This window comes from Homo sapiens, chromosome X, assembly GCF_000001405.40.
Source record: "Homo sapiens chromosome X, GRCh38.p14 Primary Assembly".
NCBI classification, from domain to species: domain Eukaryota; kingdom Metazoa; phylum Chordata; class Mammalia; order Primates; family Hominidae; genus Homo; species Homo sapiens.
The window spans coordinates 55733772-55756118 of NC_000023.11; the positions used below are offsets into that span (position 1 = coordinate 55733772).

At 43.1% G+C, this 22347-nt stretch overlaps 1 protein-coding gene across 16 annotated transcripts in view; it reads left to right on the forward strand.

The window, feature by feature from the left end:
* The window catches only part of RRAGB (Ras related GTP binding B), a 41026-nt gene that overhangs the window by 16023 nt on the left and 2656 nt on the right, over positions 1-22347 (forward strand). For 4 of the 16 annotated variants that reach the window (NM_016656.4, NM_006064.5, NM_001354011.2 and 1 more), the window contains 3 exons: positions 17330-17425; positions 19621-19743; positions 22070-22161. In NM_016656.4, the coding sequence (NP_057740.2) occupies positions 17330-17425; positions 19621-19743; positions 22070-22161 (311 nt within the window). The other 12 variants (NR_148686.2, NR_148690.2, NR_148685.2 and 9 more) reach the window with 11 other exon arrangements.

The window sequence follows — 22347 nt, forward strand, 5'->3', positions numbered from 1 at the left end:
ATGTCCTTTCGTGGCTTTGGTATTAGGATGACACTGGCTTTGTAGAATGAGTTAAGGAGGATTCCCTCATTCTCAATCTTTTGGGACAGTTTCAGTTGGATTGGCATCAGTTCTTTGACTGTCTCATAGAACTTGGCTATGAATCTATCTGGTCCTGGGGTTTTTTTTTTTGGTTGGGAAATTTTGAGTTTTTGTTTCTTTTTTTTTTTTGAGACGGAGTCTCGCTCTTTCACCCAGGCTGGAGTGCAGTGGCGTGGTCTCGTCTCACTGCAAGCTCTGCCTCCCAGGTTCACGCCATTCTCCTGCCTCAGCCTCCCGAGTAGCTGGGACCACAGGTGCCCGCCACCACACCCAGCTAATTTTTTGTATTTTTAGTAGAGACGGGGTTTCACCATGTTAGCCAGGATGGTCTCAATCTCCTGACCTCATGATCCGCCTGCCTCGGCCTCCCAAAGTGCTGGGATTACAGGCTTGAGCCACCGTGCCCGGCTGGGTTTTTTTTTTTTTTTATTACTGATTACGTCTCACTAATTGTTAGTGCTCTGTTCAGGATTTCTATTTCTTTTCCTGATTGAAGCTTGTGTGGTTGTATATTTCCAAGAATTTATCCATTTCCTTTAGATTTTGTACTTTGAGTGCATAGAAGTGTTCATAGTAGTCTCAGTCATCCTTTGTATTTCTGTGTTTATCAGTATGATGTTTCCATTTTCATTTCTGATAGAGCTTATTGGAATCTTCTTTTCTTGCTTTATCTAGCTAGTGGTTTATTAATTTAGTTTATCTTTTCAAAGAACCAACTTTTTGTTTCATTGACCATTGTATTTTTTTAATTTATTTTCAATTTTCTTGAGTTCTACTCTAATCTTTGTTATTTCTTATTTCTTTTCTTCTGCTAGCTTTGGGTTTGGCTTGTTCTTGTTTCTCCAGTTCCTTGAGGTGTGATGTTAGGTTGTAAATTTGTGATCTTTTTGTCCTTTTGATGTAGGCATTTAGTGCAATAAACTTTGATCTTAGCACTGCTTTTGCTATATCCCAGAGATTTTGATAACTTGTGTCAGTATTTTAATTCATTTCAAAAAATTTTTCCATCTTGATTTTATTTTTGACCCAAAGATCATTGAAGAATAGACTATTTAATTTCCATATATTTGTATGGTTTTGAGAATTCCTCTTGGAATTGATTTCTGGTTTTATTCTGCTTTGGGCTGATTTGATACTTGATATGATTTTGATTTTTTAAAATTTATTAAGACTTCTTTTGTGGCCTGATATATAGTCTATCTTGAAAAAGTTCCACGTGCTGACAACAAGAATGTATATTCTGCAGTTTTTGGGTAGAATGTTCTGTAAATGTCTGTTAAATCCACTTTTTCTAGAGTCCAGTTTAAGTCCAGTGTTTGTTGACTTTCCGCCACAATGATCTATCCAGTGCTGTCCATGGCGTGTTGTAGTCCTCCACTATAATTGTATTGCTTTCTATCTCTTTTTCTTAGGTCTAGTAGTTTCTGTTTTTATGAATCTGGGAGCTCTGGAGTTAGGTGTGCATAAATTTTGGGTTGTTATATCTTCTTGTTGAATTGATTTCTTTATCATTATATAATGACATTTTTTGTCTTTTTTACTGTTGTTGATTTAAAGTCTGTTTTATCTAAGAATAGTTATTCCCACTCACTTTTGGTTTCCATTAACATGGAATATTCTTCCTACCCATCTGCCTTAAGTCTATAAGAATCTTTACAAGTTAACTGGGTCTCTTGAAGACAGCAGATATTTGGTTTGTGTTTTTTTCCATTCTGTCCATCTATTATCTTTTAAGTGGCACATTTAGACCATTTACATTCAATGTTAATATTGACATGTGATGTACTGTTGCAGTCATCATGCTGCTACCTAGTTGCTTGGTTTTCTTCAATGTGTTACAGTTTTATAAGTCCTGTGAATTTTTTGCCTTCAAGTGTTTTTATACTGGTGCATATGACCTTTCATTTAGATATTTAGAACTCCTTTTGCATTTCTTATAGGTCTGGTCTGGTGGAGACAAATTCCATCAGCATTTGCTTGTCTGGGAGAGACTTCATTTCTCTTTCACATATGCAATTTAGTTTTGATAGATACAGAATTCTTGGCTGACAGTTATTCCGTTTGAGGAGACTAAAGATAGGACTCAATCCCTTTTGGCTTGTAAGGTTTCTGCTGAGAAGTCTGCTATTAGTCTGATAGGTTTTCCTTTGTAAGTTATCCAATGCTTTTGTCTCACTCTTCTTAGAATTCTTTCCTTCATGTTGACTTTAGATAGCCTGATGACTTGGTAATGTCTTTTTTTATAATGAATCTCCTAGGAGTTCTTTGAGCTTCTTGTATTTGGATGTCTAAATTTCTAGCAAGACCAGGAAAGTTTTCCTCAAATATTTCCTCAAATGGGTTTTCCAAGCTTTTTGCTTTTTCTTCTCCCTCAGGAACACCTGTGATTCTTAGATTTGGATGTTTTATACCTAAACCCATATTTACTGGAGACTTTGTTCATTTCTTTTAATTCCTTTTTTAAAATTTTTATCTGATTGTGTTAATTTGAAAGCCTTGTCTTCAAGCTCTGAAATTCTTCTTCTACTTGGTCCAGTTATTTCTTTATGTTGGTTTCTAACTTTCTCTTGGATATCATTTAGCAACCTAATAATTAACATTTTGAATTCTTTATCTGATATTTCAAAGATTTCATTTTGATTTGGATCCATCACTGGAGAGTTAGTGTGATCTTTTTGGGGGTGTTGTAGAACTCTGTTTTTGCATGTTGCCAGAATCATTTTTCTGGTTCCTTCTCATCTGGGTGGACAATTTCGTCTTATTATTTTTGAATTTATTTCTGATTTTACTGGGTTTTTAAATGTTTTTCTCCCCTTGAGTATGTGACTTTAATGTGTGTAGTGTATGGTCACCTAGCTTTGGCTCTGGGTGCTTTCAGTGGCAAAGACTGTGTATGAGCTCTTTGGTTGTAGAGAATCTTTGTGCAGTGGCTTTCTTAGCTGCTGGTTGTAGTAGCAGTGTGCTGGGTGTGTGAGAAGGCTCACTGTCTCCCATGGGCCAGAATGGCAGAGGTCTCATGAAGCATATCTCATTTCCCCGTGGTGTATATTTTGTTATTTTTGTGAAAAATATACTGGGGAAAAAAATAACAAAGTGCATACCACTGGGGAATGAGATAAGCTTCATGAGACCTCTGCCATTGAATAGTTCAGCCTTCATGCTAGTACAGGCACCCACAGGTAAAAACCAGCTGCAGCTGAAGTAGGTGGGTATATGCAGTACCCCATTTGTGGGCAGAAGGCCCAGCCTTGACTGAGCTGGCTGGGGGAGCTCTCAGTGAAATGTACTGAGGTCTTTACAGGGGGACAGAAGGGAGCCACCTCAGCTCCTCTCCCAGGCCAGCAGGAAAGCCATCTGCTTCCCCATCATGCTTTTGTCCCAGTGTTCTGGATATTCAGATCAGACAAGCACCTCTGTCCATCTGCAGGAATGCTGACATTCCATGTAAAGAGGGGTTGTGACTTTACTTCTTGTGCAAGCCTGAACCCAGAGGGCACTCCTCCTGTGGAGATGTAGTCACCCTGAAGTGCTCCAGAAAGACTGTCTATAGGCACACTCATGCTGAGTTCCTGGAAGAGAAGCCCCAGCTGTATCTGCAAGTGGTGGGCAAGGGAGAGAAGTTTCCTTCTCTGGGTCCCTTCATGAGCACTGGAGCTGCCTGACTGCTGGGGTAGAACTGCAGTTTTTCACCACTGAGCATGGCCTTGCACCTGTGTCTCTGCTGAAGGAAACTTCCCACAAGTGGAAACTTCTGGGACTCAAGGCCTGCAGTCTGGTTTCTTTTGTCCCACAGGGTGCTCCCTTGATGTGGTGCACTCCCTGTTCCCATAGGTGTGGCAGTCCCTCAGGGCCAGACTACTGCAAATCCTGCTGCGCATCTGGTCTAGCCGCCTTGTGGGGCTTCCACACTCTAAGCTGGTGCTGGGGGAATATGTGCAAGGCATCCAGTGATGTGAAGACACAAGGATTGAAGGTCCCTGAGCAAAACAAAGTCTCACAATGGGTGCACATCCAGCATGGCACCCACTGCTATAGCTCAGGTCCAGGGGGAACTTGTGAAGGGACCTTGTGCGAGCAAGGTAATGCCCTTGAGGAGTCCCTAAATCGCAGCCCACTCTGGTACTTGTGCTCGTGAGTGCAAAGAAGTCGTCTTTGAGCTTGGATACCAGCAGTCTGCTGCAAGGGCCAGAGAGGCCAAGAGCACTCCCACCTCCTCTGTCCGCAGATTATTAAGTCTCTGAGGGTTTGATCTCTGCCAGCTTCTTGTTACTTTCTTTTTTCTTTTTTGGTGTGTCACAGATTCTTCCACTGAACTCTCTGATAAGCTCCAGCACTCTCCGCTTAACATTCCATTTGGGCTATGATTATTCACCTGTAATTTTGGTTCTTCCCTCTGAGGAGAATTGGTCACTGATGCTTCTTATCAGCCAAGTGGAGAAGCTCTCTGATGCCAAAGGCTGTGGGACAGGTCTGCAGGATGTGCAGTGTCTTAGGCTCTGCTCTGAGCTTCAGAGGGGGACAATGTTGAGTGGATCTGGACCAAGCTGTCCTGCCCTCTGGTCTCCCAGCAGGTGTAAGCACAAGCTATGATAAGGGTAGCAGGAGAGTGACATAGACTCTGAAAGATTTCCCTGGCTAAAAATAGCCTTAGTGTGATGGCTTTCTCAAATCCCAGCTATAGTAGTAATGTACTAGGCACATGAGTAGGCTCAAGACCTCCCGATTAGCTGGGATGGTGTGGGTAAATGATGTTAGCTGAGATCACGCAGAAGTTTTCTCCTTCTCAAGTGGTGTGTTATTGTGTCAGCAGATGTTGTAATGGGCTGCACCAGTTGCCCTCTAGCCAGGAGGTGGCGTTTGTAGGAGACAGCCAGTTGTGATGGTGGCCATGGGATTTGTGCCTGGCTTATGATACTCAGGGGAAGAACTTGTGTCTCAGGCGATGGGCAAGGCCATGGAACTCCCAAAAGTCCCTGTCTGTTGTGTTATGCTACCAGGGCAGGTGGAGGGGCAAACCGGGTTTGGGCTGGGTCAAACAGATTTGCACTCTGGCTCCCCATGTGTAAGCACAAGCAGTGGTCCCAGTGGGGCTTGGAGGGCAGTTCCCTGGCCACTAGGGTAATGTTCCAGGGAGAAGCACAACTGACTCTGCTGCACAAAAGAATCCACATTGGGAGAAGGAGTAGCAGGTGTCAGTGAGACCCACCCAACTCCCACAGCTTTGACAAGGTAGGTATCACATCCACAGTCTTCTGCTAGCAGCAGCTAGCTGGATCCCAGGCAGTCTTTGTTAAGAATGCAAAACCGCCCCAGGCCATAAGCCTTCCTGCTGCCTGAGACAGAAACTATGCCTTTCAGGCCTCACCTCTCCCTGTTTGTTCACGAAGCTGGGGCACTTGGCTGCTGCTCCTGTGGCAAGAGCGTACTTCCCACTTGCCCCTCAGTTCTGGCCAAGGGAGTTTGTCCTCACTCGAGAGATTAGACTGCAGATCTCAGTTGGGAGCTTCTCCCATCCTGTGACCACTGCCTGAGTTAGCTGTGAGGTTCCTCTTATCAGGAATGGTTTCCTTCTGTCCCCACTGGGGTTTCAGGGTACATGCAAAGTACTTCTCAATACCGCTCTTTTTCATATACTTCCCACTGCTCACCAAATCAACTGCAGTGCTGGGTAGGGTTAAGGTGCTCCCCTGTGGCCTGGCTTGCTCAGCTTCTCAGTGGGAATGTGTATCAAGGAGACATTGTCTCCCCCTTTCATGCTCTGGAGACTCACAGTGGTCTGCCTGGCTCATGGTGTAGGTTGCTGCCCACCACTTCTTTCAAAGTGTCTGAAGCTTCTTTCAGTTTTTCTGTTGAGTTCCTGTGTTCCTTCTTGGATAAAAATTTACACTGTGAATCTCTACACACCACTCTGCTGTTTCCAAGCAGGTGAGGTCTGCTAACAAAGCCTTCAGTCTACCATCTTGGAAAAAAAAAATCACTTTTGATTAATCATCTTATTATTTTCTAAATGCGTATATAAAGATTTCCAAAGATAGATTAATATTCTTCAAGATACTTTAAGCTTAGTTAAGAAAAGTATATTCTTTATTTTATTAAAAATGTACTTAGAAGTTTTAAGGTAAAATGGTTAGTGTACTTCCCTAAATATCCATTTCAGCTAAGACTGGTGCAAAAATAATTGTGATTTTGCCGGGCGCGGTGGCTCACGCCTGTAATCCCAGCAACTTTGGGAGGCCGTGGCGGGCGGATCACAAGGTCAGGAGATCGAGACCATCCTGGCTAATACGGTGAAACCCCGTCTCTACTAAAAAATACAAAAAATTAGCTGGGCGCAGTGGCGGGCGCCTGTAGTCCCAGCTACTCGGGAGGCTGAGGCAGGAGAATGGCGTGAACCCAGGAGGCGGAGCTTGCAGTGAGCCCAGATAGCGCCACTGCAGTCTGGCCTGGGCAAAAGAGCAAGACTCCATCTCAAAAAAAAAAAAATCATTGTGATTTTGAACCATGAATTTTAAATCATTATGACTAGGCTCAAACACATCTTTTGGAATGAAAATAGGAACCATTACAGTCAACACATTTTTGTCAACAAGAAACAAATTTGTTTATTCCTGTAGCACAAAAATCCGTGCTTTGGGATTCAACAAACTCTTGGAAAGAATTTTCTGCATCCTGCTGGCTGTGGAAGTGTTTTCCCTGCAAAAGGTTGTCGAGATGCTTGAAGTGGTAGTTGGTTGGCAAGAGGTAAGGTGAATATGGTGGATGAGGCAAAACTTCATAGCCCAATTTCTTCTACTTTTGAAGTGTTGGTTGTGCAATGTGCGGTCGGGTGTTGTCATGGAGAATTGGGCCCTTTCTGTGACCAGTGCTGGCTGCAGGCGTTGCAGTTTTTGGTGCGTCTCGTTGATTTGCTGAGCATATTTATCATATGTAATGGTTCCCCCGGGATTCAGAAAGCTGTAGTGGATCAGACCAGCAGCAGACCAACAAACAGTGACTATGACTTTTTTTGTGCAAGTTTGGCTTTGGGAAGTACTTTAGAGTTCTTCTTAGTCCATCCTCTGAGCCAGTTGTCACCAGTTGTCATATAAAATCCACTTTTTGGTGCACATCCCAATCCAATTGAGAGATCATTTGTTGTTGCATAGGATAAGAGAAGACAACACTTCAAAATGATTTTTTTTTTTTTTTTTTGCTCAGCTCGTGAGCAAACCTTTTGAGCTTTTTCACCTTTCCAATTTGCTTCAAATGCTGAACAACTGTAGAATGGTCGACGTTGATTTCTTTGGCAACTTCTCATGTAGTTGTAAGAGGATCAGCTTTGATGATTGCTCTCAATTGATCATTGTCAGCTTCTGATGGCTAGCCACTATGCTCTTCATCTTGAAGTCTTGTGTCTCCTTTGCAAAACATCTTGAAACACCACTGCACCATACGTTCGTTAGCAGTTCCTGAGCCAAATGCGTTGTTGATGTTGTGAGTTGTCTCCACTGCTTTACGACCCATTTTGAACTCGAATAAGAAAATCGCTCAAATTTGCTTTTTGTCTAACATCATTTCCATATTCTAAAATAAATATAAAATAAACAGCAAGTAATAAGTCATTAGCAAAAAAACATAAAGCGAGAAATGGACATTAAAATGATGTCTAACATAACCACATTTACTTAAGAATGTATTCCAAAATCAAATGGCAAATTGCAACAATACAAAAACCGCACCTAGTTATTTTCTTCTATGTGTGTATCTTAGGGTTCTCCAGGGAAGCAGAACTAACTAATCATGTGTGTGTGTATGTGCGCGTGCATAGAAAGACAGGAAGAGACACACACACGCAGAGAGAGGGGTATTTATTTTAAGGCCTCCAACTGATTAAATAAGACTCACTTATATTATAGAGGGTAATCTTTACCCAGAGTCTCCTGGTTTAAATGTTAATCTCATCTGAAAACTACCTTCACAGTGATATCTGGACTGCTGTTTGACTAAATGTCAGGATACTGTGGCCTAGTCAAGTTAACACATAAAACTAAATATTACAGTCATACCCCTTGTCAACTTGGCACTCATACACATCTACTGAAACCATACCTAATCTTCAAATAAAAACAATAACAAGGTCATACTTCCATTTAACATGATACAGTAATCCTGCGTACAACCAAAAATGCAATAATCATTTTCCCAGAAGAGGATGTAAAGTTATTGACTGTTTACTCTTCTTTTACATTATAATGTAAAGTTAACAATACTTAAATATTATGATATATCATATGATATGTTCATGATAAGGGATTAAAAGGGAAAAAACAGACATTTACTTTATATACATATATACATATTCATAACAAAATCAAGATGAAGTACTCATGACAATTGCAATTCTCATTTGTATAACTGGTCACGTGATTTTTAACTGGTCTTTATAACTGCCTTATTCAGTTCCAGATTACCTTTGCCCACAGCACTCACCTCAGCTTGTTGTATATTCTCTGGTGGGGTGACCCAAAGACCATTAGTGGACCTTCCTGAATTGGGCATTGTCGTTTTCCATTGAGTTTAATCACAGAGCATGGTATTACTAAGAGACATCCTAAGAGCTCTCCTATATTCCAGAAATACTCTTCTTCCTTATATCTATTTTGGAGGAGCAATCCAGTTTCCCCATAGTAGTCAGGATCAGTCAGTCCAGTCAGCATAGTAACTTCCTTCTTTGCCTGTTGATTCAGAGGCTTGAGGGACCCAAGGTGGCTGGTTGGCAGTCTTAACTTCCAGTTCAGTGGAATCACTATGTTTCCTGGTAGACACATTTCTGCCTTTGGAACTGAGACCTCTAGGCCAGCAGAGCATAAGGTCACAGGGGCAAGAAACAAAAATTTTGCTAGTGGGTCACTGGAGTGAGTGGTGGCACTCCAGTTTCCACCCCATGAATCCTCACTATAAAATTAAAAGCACCATTTATTGGACGCTGACTCAGAGCACATACAGCCTCCTAGAGAACCTTGCCTAGCTCTGCAAAGTATTGCAACTATCTAACATAGTTGGCACTGTAAATGGGTCTTCAAAAGGCCATTCTAACCAGGTATGATGACTCATGCTTGTAGTTCTACCTCCTTGTGGGAGGGTAAGGCAAGAGGGTTGCCTAGCCTCGTTGAAATCCAGCCTAGGAACATAGTGAGATGCATCTCTAATTAAAACAAAACAAAAGGCCATTCTGCCATTCTGTCAAGCCAGCTGCTTTAGGATGGTGGGGAACATGGTAAGACCAGTGAATTTCATGAGGATGAGCCCATTGCCTCACTTTATTTGCTGTGAAGTGAGTTCCTTGATCAGAAGCAATGCTGTGTACAATACTGTGATGGTGGATGAGGCATTCTGTAAATCCATGTATGGTAGTTTTGGCAGAAGAAATGGATGCAGGGAAGGCAAATCCATATCCAGAATGTGTAATTCAGTAATCATGTCCCTTCCATGATGGAAGCAGATGAGTGTAATCAACCTGCCACCAGGTACTTAGCTGATCACCCTGGGGGATAGTGCCATATCAGGGACTCAGTGTTGGTCTCTGTTGCTAACAGATTGAACACTCAGTCATGGCTGTAGTCAGATCAGCCTCGGTGAGTGGAAGTCCATGATGCTGAGCCCATATATAACAACCCTGCCACCATGGCCACTTTATTCATGAGCTCATTGGGCAGTTACCTGCATGGTTGGAGAAAGGGGCTGAACAGGTCATCCTATCTACTTGGTTATTAAAATCCTCTTCTGCTGAAGTCATTCTTTGGTGGCATTCATATGAGACACAAATATCCTCACATTTTTCACCCATTCAGAAAGATCTGTGTATATACCTCTTCCACAGACCGTTTTGTCACCAATTTTCCAGTCATGTTCCTTCCAAGTCCCTGACCATCCAGCAAACCAGTGGCCATAGCTCATGAATTGATAACTAATTGTACATCTAACCATTTCTTCTTCCTAGTAAAGTGAACAACCAGGTGGTCAAAGTTCTGCCCATTGGGAGGATTTCCCTTTACCACTTTCTTTCAGGGCTGTCCCATAACTTTCTTTCTGTAAAGAAAGTTACCACTTTCTTACAGGGCTGCTGTAGTATTGCAGTTGTCCACTTCCAGATGGCACCTGCGTATCATGCAGAACTATCTGTAAACCAGTCCTGAGTTTTCTTTCTCTGTCAGCTGATTGTGGGAAACTCCCCATAAGGCCATAGTTGCAGGCTAAAAAAGAGAGGGTAGTATAGGCCGGACATGGTGGCTCATGCCTGTAATCCCAGCTCTTTGGGAGGCTGAGGTGGGCAAATCACTTGAGGTCAGAAATTCAAGACCAGCCTGGCCAACATGGCAAAACCCCATCTCTACTAAAAATACAATAATTAGTCAGGCGTGGTGGTGTGTGCCATGCGCCTGTAGTCCGAGCTACTCAGGAGGCTGAGGCACAAGAATTGCTTGAACCCGGGAGGTGGAAGTTGCAGTGAGCCGAGACTGCGCCACTGCACTCCAGCTTGGGTGACAGAGTGAGCCAAAAAAAAAAAAAAAAAGTAGTATAGCAGGAATGGGGACTGTGGCCATGTTCCTTACTTGTTCATCCAAGGCCTACTTGAGCCTGATCTCATATATACCGCTTTAATTTGGTGATGGAGTCCTACTGCATATGCACAACTTTATGGCTTGGTAGGTCAAATAATACCCAGTTCATGATGGGTAGCTCAGGTCTCATGGTTACTTAGTGGCCCATGATTAAGTGTTCAGTCTATACTAAGACCTAATAGCAAACCAAGAACTGTTTCCCAAAAGGGGTATAGTTATCTGTGAACAGCAGCTGGGCTTTGCTTCAATATGCTGAAGGCATGTGCTGCAGTTCACATATGGGAGCTTGCCAGTGACTCCAAATGGCATCCCTGTCTGCCATTGACACTTCAAGCACCATTGGATATGCTGGATCATATGACCCAAGTGGAAAGCAGCTTGAGTTGCAGCCTGAACCTTCTGTTCTGGGACCTACTCAAAACTGTCAGGTTTTTGGGTCACTTGGTAAATGGGCCAGAGTAACACAGCCAAATGAAGACTGTGTTGCCTCCAAAATTCAGAGGCTTGCTAGATGTTGTGCTTCTTTCTGGGTTGTAGGAGGGGCCAGATGCAACAACTTATCCTTCACCTTAGAAGGGGTATCTCTCCATACCACTGCACCCCTCAAAACTTCACTGAGGTAGAAGACCCCTGAGTTTTTGTCAGATTTCCCATCCTCTGACATGCAGCTATCTTACCAGTAAGTCTAATGTAGTTGTTGCTTCTCGCTCATTAGGTCCAATCAGCATAATGTCATCAATGTAATGGATCTGCCTAATATCTTGTAAAAGGGTGGTCAAGATTCTTGTGAAGGTGGTCAAGATTCTTGTGAAGCAAATTATGACATAGGACTAGAGAGCTGATATACCCCTGCAGCAGGACAGTGAAGTGTATTGCTGGCCTTGCCTGCTGAAAGCAAACAACTTACAGTGTACTTATGGTGGGCCTTAATAAAGACAGGTATGGAGAAAAGAGCGTTTGTTAGAAAACTAGCTGCATACAGGTACCAGGGGATATGTTAATTTGCTCAAGCAATGAAACCACATTTGGCACAGCAGCTACAATTGTAGTCACCATCTAGTTAAGTTTATGACAGTCCACTGTCCAGGAGCCATCTTTCTTCTACACAGGCTGAATAGGAGATTTGAAGGAGGATGTGGTGGTAATCACCAACTCTGCATCTTTCAAGTCTGATGGTGGCACTAACCTCTGCAATCCTTCCAGGAATATGCAATATTGCTTTTGGTTACCATTTTCCTAGGTAGAGGTCATTCTAATGGGTTCCACCTGGCTTTTCCACCACAACAGCCTGCACTCCACAGGTCAAGAGACCAATGAGGGATTCTGCCAGTTGTTGAGCATGTCTGTTTCAATTTTGTACTCTGGAACAGGGAAAATAACCCACAAGAAGGTTGCAAGGACCCACTGGGCCTACATGAGACAGACCTGAGCTAAAACTCCATTGATTACTTAACCTTTATAAGGCCCTACTTTGACTGGTGGACCACAGTTACATTTTAGGTCTCACTGGAATTAGGGTCATTTCAGAGCTAATGCTCAGTAGTAGATTATTTCCTTTTCTGTAACGCACAGTCACCCTGCTAAAAGGCCACATAGGTCCATTTGGAGGAGGCTGGGAGGAAGATTAACAGTATAAATACTTGGCAGTGTCCTTCCTCAAGGGGACCCAGGCTCCCCTTCATTCAAGGGGTCTGGTTTTGTAAACTGGTACAAGTCTGGGTATTGATTGAGAAGCCGTGAGTCTCCAATTTAATAATTCAAATTAAATTTTTTATCACTTGACCTAGAATTCTTCCACATATACAGATCAAGTAAAAAATTAGTAGACTTCCCATCCATTTCACTTCTAGGAACATCATGATAACTAGCCAACACCATAGGTCTCTACGAGTCAGACTATTCTGATTAATGCTTTGACTCTGCTTCAGTTATGGTACTATGACCACCTTGTCTTTGGTGATTAAGTGCCCCCACTTGGTTCCTGCCATTCTAGGATCCAACTACTCCCGTCGCATTTAGGTTTCCCAATTCAGTGGCAGCAGTTCCCACTGAAAGTTCTAGCCTACAGAGAAGAATGATCACATAATTGAGGAAAGAAGCTGGGGCTGCCCTTACAAATTTATTTTTCATAGTCATGATGAAAGAAAGGTGTGTCTTCTGGAACCTCGCAGGTTTGGTGAGTAGGCCTTAAATGAATCTGTTAATACTTGAACATTACAATGTCCCTAAAGCCTCTTTTTCTATGGATCTCTTCTTCTAGAGTATACCAAGGCAGTTCTGGCATTTCAACTTCATGTCGTTTAGGCCACCTTTTGGTCCATGTTTCATCCAACCATCCAAACAAACTGTTAAAAGCTCTTTCTTACCCCATGGGCTGCAACATTAAGTGTGGAACCTCTGCTTAATGAGCTCCTATCGGTAAATTTAGCCTGATCCAACTTTATATTTTTTCCACTATTATCCTATACCTTTAATATCTATTCCCATACATATTTCCTTGGTTTTTGTCTGTAAATTGGAGAAATTATGTAGTTCTTTGGAGTATAGCATAATTCCTCATGGGTCATACTTCACACGTCACCTTTAGGAGTCTGCTGAGACTTGAACTAGTTATAGGTGTAGAAGCAAAGAGGGGTAGTGGGAGTGAATCAGGAGTGTCTTGCATGGCAGATACCTCAGAGGAGACCATTGCAGTTTTCTCAGGCCAAATAGAGTTAATATCAGATATGGATGGAGTGGCTGCTTCTACTGGCAAAGAAGACTGAGAATTTAAGGTTTCAATTTTGCCAGCTTCATCAGGATCTTCCCAAATAACCTCCATTCCAAATTTTAGAATCCTACTTCTTCTTGGCCAATGCCCTCACTTTATTAGCAGATGCCCTGTGAGGTTGTGAATTCAGTTCGCATTGTAATTCATCCACTTAAAGGATGAGATTCTGAATTTGGTTTCATCAGTCTCAGCTCTGCAGCTATAGGGGGTAAGAGTTTTTTTTCAGGGCAGTCATAGAAACTTTGTGGTCGTTTATAAAGTATTTATACTGATAATTCAGATCTCTGAGCTCATCCTTTCTCTACTTTGTTCAGCACAATTAGGATCAGCCAGCCAATCTCATATTTGTTATTTTGACAAAAATGTTCGAAATTATGTATGTGGTCACGTGGTACCTTGCCTCTTAAAAGTATTTTATTAGGAATATCCAGTGGTGGTATTTTGTGTATCTCTGCTGCCACATCACACTATAGATTATCAGTACTGTCTTTTCTACTGGAAAGTGAGTCATTAGGGCCTTTAAATCTAATCAGATTAGAGAACCAACCCCAGAACCAATTTAGAAAACTCATCCTTAAGATTATTCTCGCTCCCTCTCCCTCTCCCTCTCCCTCTCCCTCTCCCCACGGTCTCCCTCTCCCTCTTTCCACGGTCTCCCTCTCCCTCTCTTTCCACGGTCTCCCCCTGATGCCGAGCCGAAGCTGGACTGTACTGCTGCCATCTCGGCTCACTGCAACCTCCCTGCCTGATTCTCCTGCCTCAGCCTGCCGAGTGCCTGCCATTGCAGGCGGGCGCCGCCACACCTGACTGGTTTTCGTATTTTTTTGGTGGAGACAGGGTTTCGCTGTGTTGGCGGGGCTGGTCTCCAGCTCCTAACCCCGAGTGATCCGCCAGCCTCGGCCTCCGGAGGTGCCGGGATTGCAGAGGGAGTCTCGTTCACTCAATGCTCAATGGTGCCCAGGCTGGAGTGCAGTGGCGTGATCTCGGCTTGCTACAACCTCCACCTCCTAGCTGCCTGCCTTGGCCTCCCAAAGAGCCGAGATTGCAGCCTCTGCCTGCCCGCCACCCCGTCTGGGAAGTGAGGAGCGTCTCTGCCTGGCCACCTATCCTCTGGGATGTGAGGAGCCCCTCTGCCTGGCTGCCCAGTCTGGAAAGTGAGGAGCGTCTCTGCCCGGCCGCCATCCCATCTAGGAAGTGAGGAGTGCCTCTTCCCGGCCGCCATCCCATCTAGGAAGCGAGGAGAGTCTCTGCCTGGCCGCCCATCATCTGAGATGTGGGGAGCGCCTCTGCCCCGCCACCCCGTCTGGGATGTGAGGAGCGCCTCTGCTGGGCCGTGACCCCGTCGGGGAGGTGAGGAGCGTCTCTGCCCAGCCGCCCAGTCTGAGAAGTGAGGAGACCCTCCGCCTGGCAACCGCCCCGCCTGAGAAGTGAGGAGCCCCTCCGCCCAGCCAGCCACCCCGTCTGGGAAGTGAGGAGCGTCTCCGCCCGGCAGCCACCCCATCCGGGAGGGAGGTGGGGGTCAGCCCCCACCAGGCCAGCCGCCCCATCTGGGAGGGAGGTGGGGGGGTCAGCCCCCCGCCTGGCCAGCTGCCCCGTCCGGGAGGTGAGGGGTGCCTCTGCCCAGCCGCCCCCACTGGGAAGTGAGGAGCCCCTCTGCCCGGCCAGCCGCCCCATCCGGGAGGGAGGTGGGGGGGTCAGCCCCCCGCCCGGCCAGCTGCCCCGTCCGGGAGGGAGGTGGGGGAGTCAGCCCCCCCGCCCGGCCGGCCGCCCCATCCGGGAGGGAGGTGGGGGGGTCAGCCTCCCGCCCGGCCAGCCGCCCCGTCTGGGAGGGAGGTGGGGGTGTCAGCCCCCCGCCCGGCCAGCCGCCTCGTCCGGGAGGTGAGTGGTGCCTCTGCCCGGCCACCCCTACTGGGAAGTGAGGAGTCCCTCTGCCCGGCCAGCCGCCCCGTCCGGGAGGGAAGTGGGGGGGGTCAGCCCCCCGCCTGGCCAGCCGCCCCGTCCGGGAGGTGAGGGGCGCCTCTGCCCGGCCGCCCCTACTGGGAAGTGAGGAGCCCCTCTGCCCGGCCAGCCGCCCCGTCCGGGAGGGAGGTGGGGGGGTCAGTCCCCAGCCCGGCCAGCCGCCCCATCCGGGAGGGAGGTGGGGGGGTCAGCCCCCGCCCGGTCAGCCGCCCCGTCCGGGAGGGAGGTGGGGGGGTCAGCCCCCCGCCCGGCCAGCTGCCCCGTCCGGGAGGTGAGGGGCGCCTCTGTCCGGCCGCCCCTACTGGGAAGTGAGGAGCCCCTCTGCCCGGCCACCACCCCATCTGGGAGGTGTACCCAACAGCTCATTGAGAACGGGCCATGATGACAATGGCGGTTTTGTGGAATAGAAAGGGGTGAAAGGTGGGGAAAAGATTGAGAAATCGGATGGTTGCTGTGTCTGTGTGGAAAGAAGTAGACATGGGAGACTTTTCATTTTGTTCTGTACTAAGAAAAATTCTTCTGCCTTGGGATCCTGTTGATCTGTGACCTTACCCCCAAACCTGTGCTCTCTGAAACATGTGCTGTGTCCACTCAGGGTTAAATGGATTAAGGGCGGTGCAAGATGTGCTTTGTTAAACAGATGCTTGAAGGCAGCATGCTCGTTAAGAGTCATCACCACTCCCTAATCTCAAGTACCCAGGGACACAAACACTGCGGAAGGCTGCAGGGTCCTCTGCCTAGGAAAACCAGAGACCTTTGTTCACTTGTTTCTTTGTTCACTTGTTTATCTGCTGACCTTCCCTCCACTATTGTCCTATGACCCTGCCAAATCCCCCTCTGCGAGAAACACCCAAGAATGATCAATTAAAAAAAAAAAAAAAAAAAAAAAAAAAAAAGGTTATTCTCTAGAATCACTCTCAGTACTGAAGTCTGTGTTAGGGTTCTCCAGAATAACAGAATTAATAGAATATGTGAATATACATATACATACATACATACGTATGTGTGTGTGTGTGTGTGTGTGTGTGTGTGTGTGTGTTTAGAGAGAGAGAGATTGAGAAAGATTGAGATTGATTTTAAGGAACTTTCTCAAGTAATTGTAGAGACTAGCAAGTCCAAAATTTGCAGGGCAGGCTGACAGACTGGAGACCCATGGAAGAGTTAATGTGGAGTTAATTTTGTGGTTCGGGTCAGAAAGCAATCTGGAGGCAAAATTCTTTTTTCTTGGGGAAATGACAGGCTTTTTCTCTTAAGGCCTTCTACTGATTAGATGAGGCCCACCCACATTATACAGAATAATACTCAGAGTCTACTGTTTCAAATGTTAATCTTAACTAAAAAAATGCCTTTGCAACAACATACAGATTGGTGTTTAACCAAATGTCTGGGTATCATGGCCTAGCTAACTTGACACATAAAATTAACCATAACAGTGTGTATGTACATATTTAACAACAATCCACTGACTCCTGGGAAAATATCTGTGTATATATATTTATATAGATATTTTTCCATATCTATATATGTGTCTGAGAAAGATATATACAAGGGTTAAAATATTTTCATTTATATATTCTTGGTATGTGTATAACTATCTTAAAATGACCCAGATTTGGTGCTTTGGAGTGTTTGATGTATTTTATTAAGACTCCTCTGTATGATAAGCTTTATTTATAAACATAGTGCTCGTAGTGAGTATTCAGCATAAGCAGGATAGGCCTGAAGAATTCTAACTATTGTGCTTTTAGACCTGACCAGAAACAGTTTCTGCCATCCTAGTTTGTGAAATAGACATACTTAAAATTCCTCTTAGAAAGGAACAAAAGCTCCTGGTTAAAATATGATAAAATAACTACATCTTAGCTTGAAAGATGGGAACTATTATATGCTGATCAGTATGTTGGGCTTTTTAATTTAGATTTTTAAAGAGCGAGAAGAAGATTTGAGGCGTTTGTCTCGCCCATTGGAATGTTCTTGTTTCCGAACATCTATCTGGGATGAAACCCTCTATAAGGTGTGTATGTCTCCCTGAGTTCCCTCATTTTAAGAGCATGAAAAAAAACCTAGAAGGATATTAACAAACCTAAAAGATTTTAAACTATTTCATAGCCATCTAGATTTGTTGTACTAAAAAGAAAAATAATCTGCAACAAATTGTTTGAAGAATATCAAACTTAACATTAAGAGACTTGGGTTTTGATCTTATATTGGGTTGACATAGCTACCAAGTCACACTGAATTAGCCAGTTTGGTCATGATTAATTTGATACTGGTCTTTGTAATAGCAGAGGTTTCACTTACTGGCCATCATCCATTTTGACCTGTTGTGGTCTCAATGCTGATTGGAGTTGTATCTAGTATTCAGGTACTTCTACATGATATAAGCTAGTCTGCCTAAGTTTGGATGGCAATAAAATGAAAATATTTAGGGAAGAGATTGGAGAAGGAGTCTTAGAATCAGACATGTTATGCCTAGCATATGGTATAATAGCTTCAACTTTCATGCCAAATTGGAGACAAGCATTCTTTCAACCAGAAGTACTGTTCCCATTGCTGGAATGGATACCACACTGCTTACACTAATTATGGAGGTTACAACAATAGCTTTGTTATGGATGAAGCTGAAATTACCTTATTGGCACATAGGCTCCTTATTCTGATTCCTCCCTTTCTCCTACTGATCTAGTTATTTGAAGGACTAGGTCCTTTTGGATCCTTCTGTAGTTAGCCCTTCCCTTCAGACTGCTTCTGGTATCCATTGACAAGTCTGACTCTGGGTAGGAAAGCACCCTTCTCTGTCACTGGTAGCTACAGCCTCAGTATCAACAGCATCTGACAAGTATCTACAACCAGAAGCACAGAAACCTGATGTGGCAAGGAGAAAAACCATTGGACTTTTAAATAGCCATTGCTTTTTTTTTTTTTAACTAATTCATTTTCCCCAATATTATGTTGACCCAGCCTCACTCTAATAACAGATCATTTTGAGATACCTGTCTAGGAAATACTGTTCTAGATTAATATGGGCCGAATTTCTCTCAAAGCCTTATTCCCATAGAACAGGTAACCGTGAATAAGGATGGACATGACGCACTGATAAGAACCAACTGCGGTGTGAAGGATGGCAATACATAACACGACCAAAGACAATTGGCTAATCACAACACTGCTGTGAGTGACAATGTCTCTGCTGTGGTTAGCTTTGGTGCCTTCTCCAAGGTAAATTCAGCAGTGACATTAACACCGACCTGGGAACTTGGAACCTGAACCCTCATGCCTAAGTAATAAAACTAATTGGAACAGAGACATGGCACTTCTGTCTCTTACATCAATGTTGCATAGAGCTAACTTAAATTTTTATATTAAGTTTTATTCAACAAGCACTCTTTACATACCTGCTTGATGCTGTTGGATACACAAATGACTAAGACCAGGTTCCTGCCCTCTTGTAGGGGAGAGAAGAACAAAGTACACCTTACCAGACAAATTGGAGTGAGAGTGAAGGAAGTATTATAATGAAAATACAAATAAAAGAGCCTACAAGAATAGAGGGAGAGTGTGGTTAATTTCAACTGCTTACATTAGTCATACTCCTGGATGAAGTCAGTTTTAGGCAAAAACACAGTAGACCATTTTGAATTCAATTGGATCAATAATTTATATGGATAACAACAAACCTTTGGGAATGATAATGCCACTAGTTTCTCTTTTAATGGTATATTATTCTATTGAGGGGAGGGGCCATTTGTCTATGTGGCTCTGCTACTTTCATAAAATTGATTCTTAGGTATATGTTAAATATAGCATAATTAGGTTCTGATCTTTAGAGAAATCTACACTGTTGGACTTAAATATTTGTGACTAGATTAGGAGCTTTTTAACAAAGTAGATCATATTTTTCAACTTTTTTCCTAAGGCAACATGATGGCATTAAATATTTGTTTGCTTTCAATTATCAATGGAAAGAAGTTTCTCCAGCATTTTACAAAAGTGTTTGAACTTAAAAAAAATTCAACTCAAGGGTAAAAATCAGATGCTAGCTTCATTTTCTCATTTCATTTGTGTTATATCATATTTAATGTCAGTATTTGTTTGGGACTGGATTATCATCATATTTTGCTGTCCACATATTATAGTGTACTTACTAATTTCAAAGGTCTGGGACTGACTAGCTGTTAATAATAGTACACTGTGTTTCTGTTCTGTTAGGCTTGGTCCAGCATAGTTTATCAGCTGATTCCCAATGTTCAGCAGCTGGAAATGAACCTAAGGAATTTTGCTGAAATTATCGAAGCTGATGAAGTACTTCTTTTTGAGAGAGCTACTTTTCTGGTAAGAACTTTCTGCTTTGCAGATGTACTTCACACTGTACGTTCTTTGTTTTCAGCAACAGAGAACAGCATGTCACTACTTTCAGGAAGAACCTTTTTCCCTCTTGTCAACTTTAGCATGTACAGACTTATTTATAAAATAGTATTGTCAGCAAGTGACCTGAAAGAAGCCCTTTGGTGTGTAGCTCTTTGGAAGTTAGTGAAACTTAGATTTTTCCAGGTATGTATTATTAGAGAGTTCAGATTGTTGGCTGGGCATGGGGGCTCACGCCTGTAATCCCAGCACTTTGGGAGGCCGAGGCGGGTGGATCACCTGAGGTCGGGAGTTAGAGACCAGCCTGACCAACATGGAGAAACCCCGTCTCTACCAAAAAATACAAAATTAGCCAGGTGTGGTGACGCATGCCTATAATCCCAGCTACTTGGGAGGCTGAGGCAGGAGAATCGCTTGAACTCGGGAGGCGGAGGTTGGGGTGAGCTGAGATCATGCCATTGCACTCCAGCCTGGGCAACAAGAGCGAAACTCCATCTCAAAAAAAAAGAGAGTTCAGATTATTTATGCTAGTAACTGTTCATTTATGTTAAAGGATTCCTATTTCCTGTGGACTTTTATTATGAAATGTGGGATATTTTCCTTTTGAGAAAACTCACATCCTATCCTTTTCTCTAAAAGACTCATTGAAAACTTTTAATGTAGAAGAGATGTTATGGTCATCTCAGTGACATAGGAGTTCACATGAAGAAGTGGAGAGGGAAAGAGGCATGTTGGTATTTTTATTTTTCTTGTAAATTGAACTTAGCAACTATATTAGAGCCTATTGTTTGTATAACCCTGAAAGGGGGATGCAAAAACCAGTATTGTATTTGTAAATACATTTTAAAAATAGCAATAATAGAAACTAAGGTGTCACAACACACTGCATAAGTAATTGCTAATTAGCCTTGGTAAATGTAACTCTAAGAGCAGTTCCCAGTAAATAATTTGTTTCTGAGCCCTGCCAATGCTTGGTGATTTTAGAAACAATTCTTAATCTCTAGGGGCTTGTTTTCCTTCTACAAATATCTATATCATAGATTTATTGTGCAGATGAAAATGGGACACAGGAACATTGAGCACCCAGCAAGCCTTGGCATTTAGTTGACAAACTATTAAATATTGATTCCTTTTGCTACTATAGCAACAGGGCAGAGAATCCAAAGTACAATTTTTCCCTCTTCCTTTGTGGAAATATTATTTGTAACCCCAGAGGTATTTGGGAGCCATCTTTCTAGCTGGTATAGATGGGGCAAGGAGTCCTAATTAGAGTATCTTTCTGTCTCAGCCCACTGGCAGAGGTCACTTGCTTGGAATTGTGCTACCCTGAGCCTGTTTTTCCTGCTAGTGTGAGTAACAATGAGCAAGAAAGCTATTCTGTCTTGATGTACGTGGCAGGACCGAAACCTGCTTCAGCAGTATTCCCCTACTATGTCTGCCACACATGGTTGTAGAGGTTAACCTAATATAAGCTCCCTGTTCCTTACTAATAGTAACAGGTAGTTTTTGTTTCTCTTGAGACCAAGTTTAGATGTGACTGAACATTTTCACTGAGCGGGGTGAAGTCAAGCAAGGGGGATTTGTTCTTCCACTGGTATAGAAATTATGTTTTGAAATTTTCACATTGTCTCATGGAATTTCCCTGTGAGTTTTCTTCTGGTGAGTGACTCAGTTTTGCTTCCTACTAGACACTCTGCATCTGTATATTCAGCCTATAGGTAATACTTGTGTGGTTTTATTAAAATCTGAAAAAGTTAGAAAAAGTATTTTCAGCTGGTGTGGGTGTCCATCCTGAATAAGTTCATTTGTAAATATTCCTCAGGGATTGGAATCAAACAGTTAAGCTTTTAAAATACAATTCCAAAAGCTATTTGGTTAGCTTGGCCTTTATTAAAATTAAACACATGAAGTATACCTCAAGAACAGCTAGGAATTTTTATTTGTTTTTCTTTTTGATTGATACTTTTTAAAAATCGAAGACCATCATGCGAAATATTGAAATAAAATGAATATTTAGTGATTAAAGTTAGAAAAAATAGCAGTGAACCAAAATAGGCAATACGTAAATGATTTAATTATAACCAAATGGTACTAGATGGGCCATCTGAATGGACGTTGAAACCACACAGAATGTTGATAATATATAGGACAGAGGAAAAGAGACAATAAGCCAGGTGCCAAGTCTACCCTAAAAACCAGTGACCAAGGGACTGACAAATGTCTGCTTTGAGGAGTAGCAGAGGATGATGTAACTATTTTGCATGGATTCAAAGGACAATATTCTTTTTCATAGGTAATTTCTCACTATCAGTGTAAAGAGCAGCGTGATGCCCATAGATTTGAGAAAATAAGCAACATTATTAAGCAGTTCAAGCTGAGCTGCAGGTAAGAGATCTAGTAGGAATGATCTGTTTATCTCTTGAAAAAATTATTGTCATTTTTTAGAAGTTCAAATAACTATAGTTAACTGTACTTCTATATTCAGAATAGTTCCTTCAATCAAAGACAAAGCTAAATTCTAAGGGGCCTCCAGTTGACTGAAATGCAGGTCGTTGTCCTTTAATGCAAACT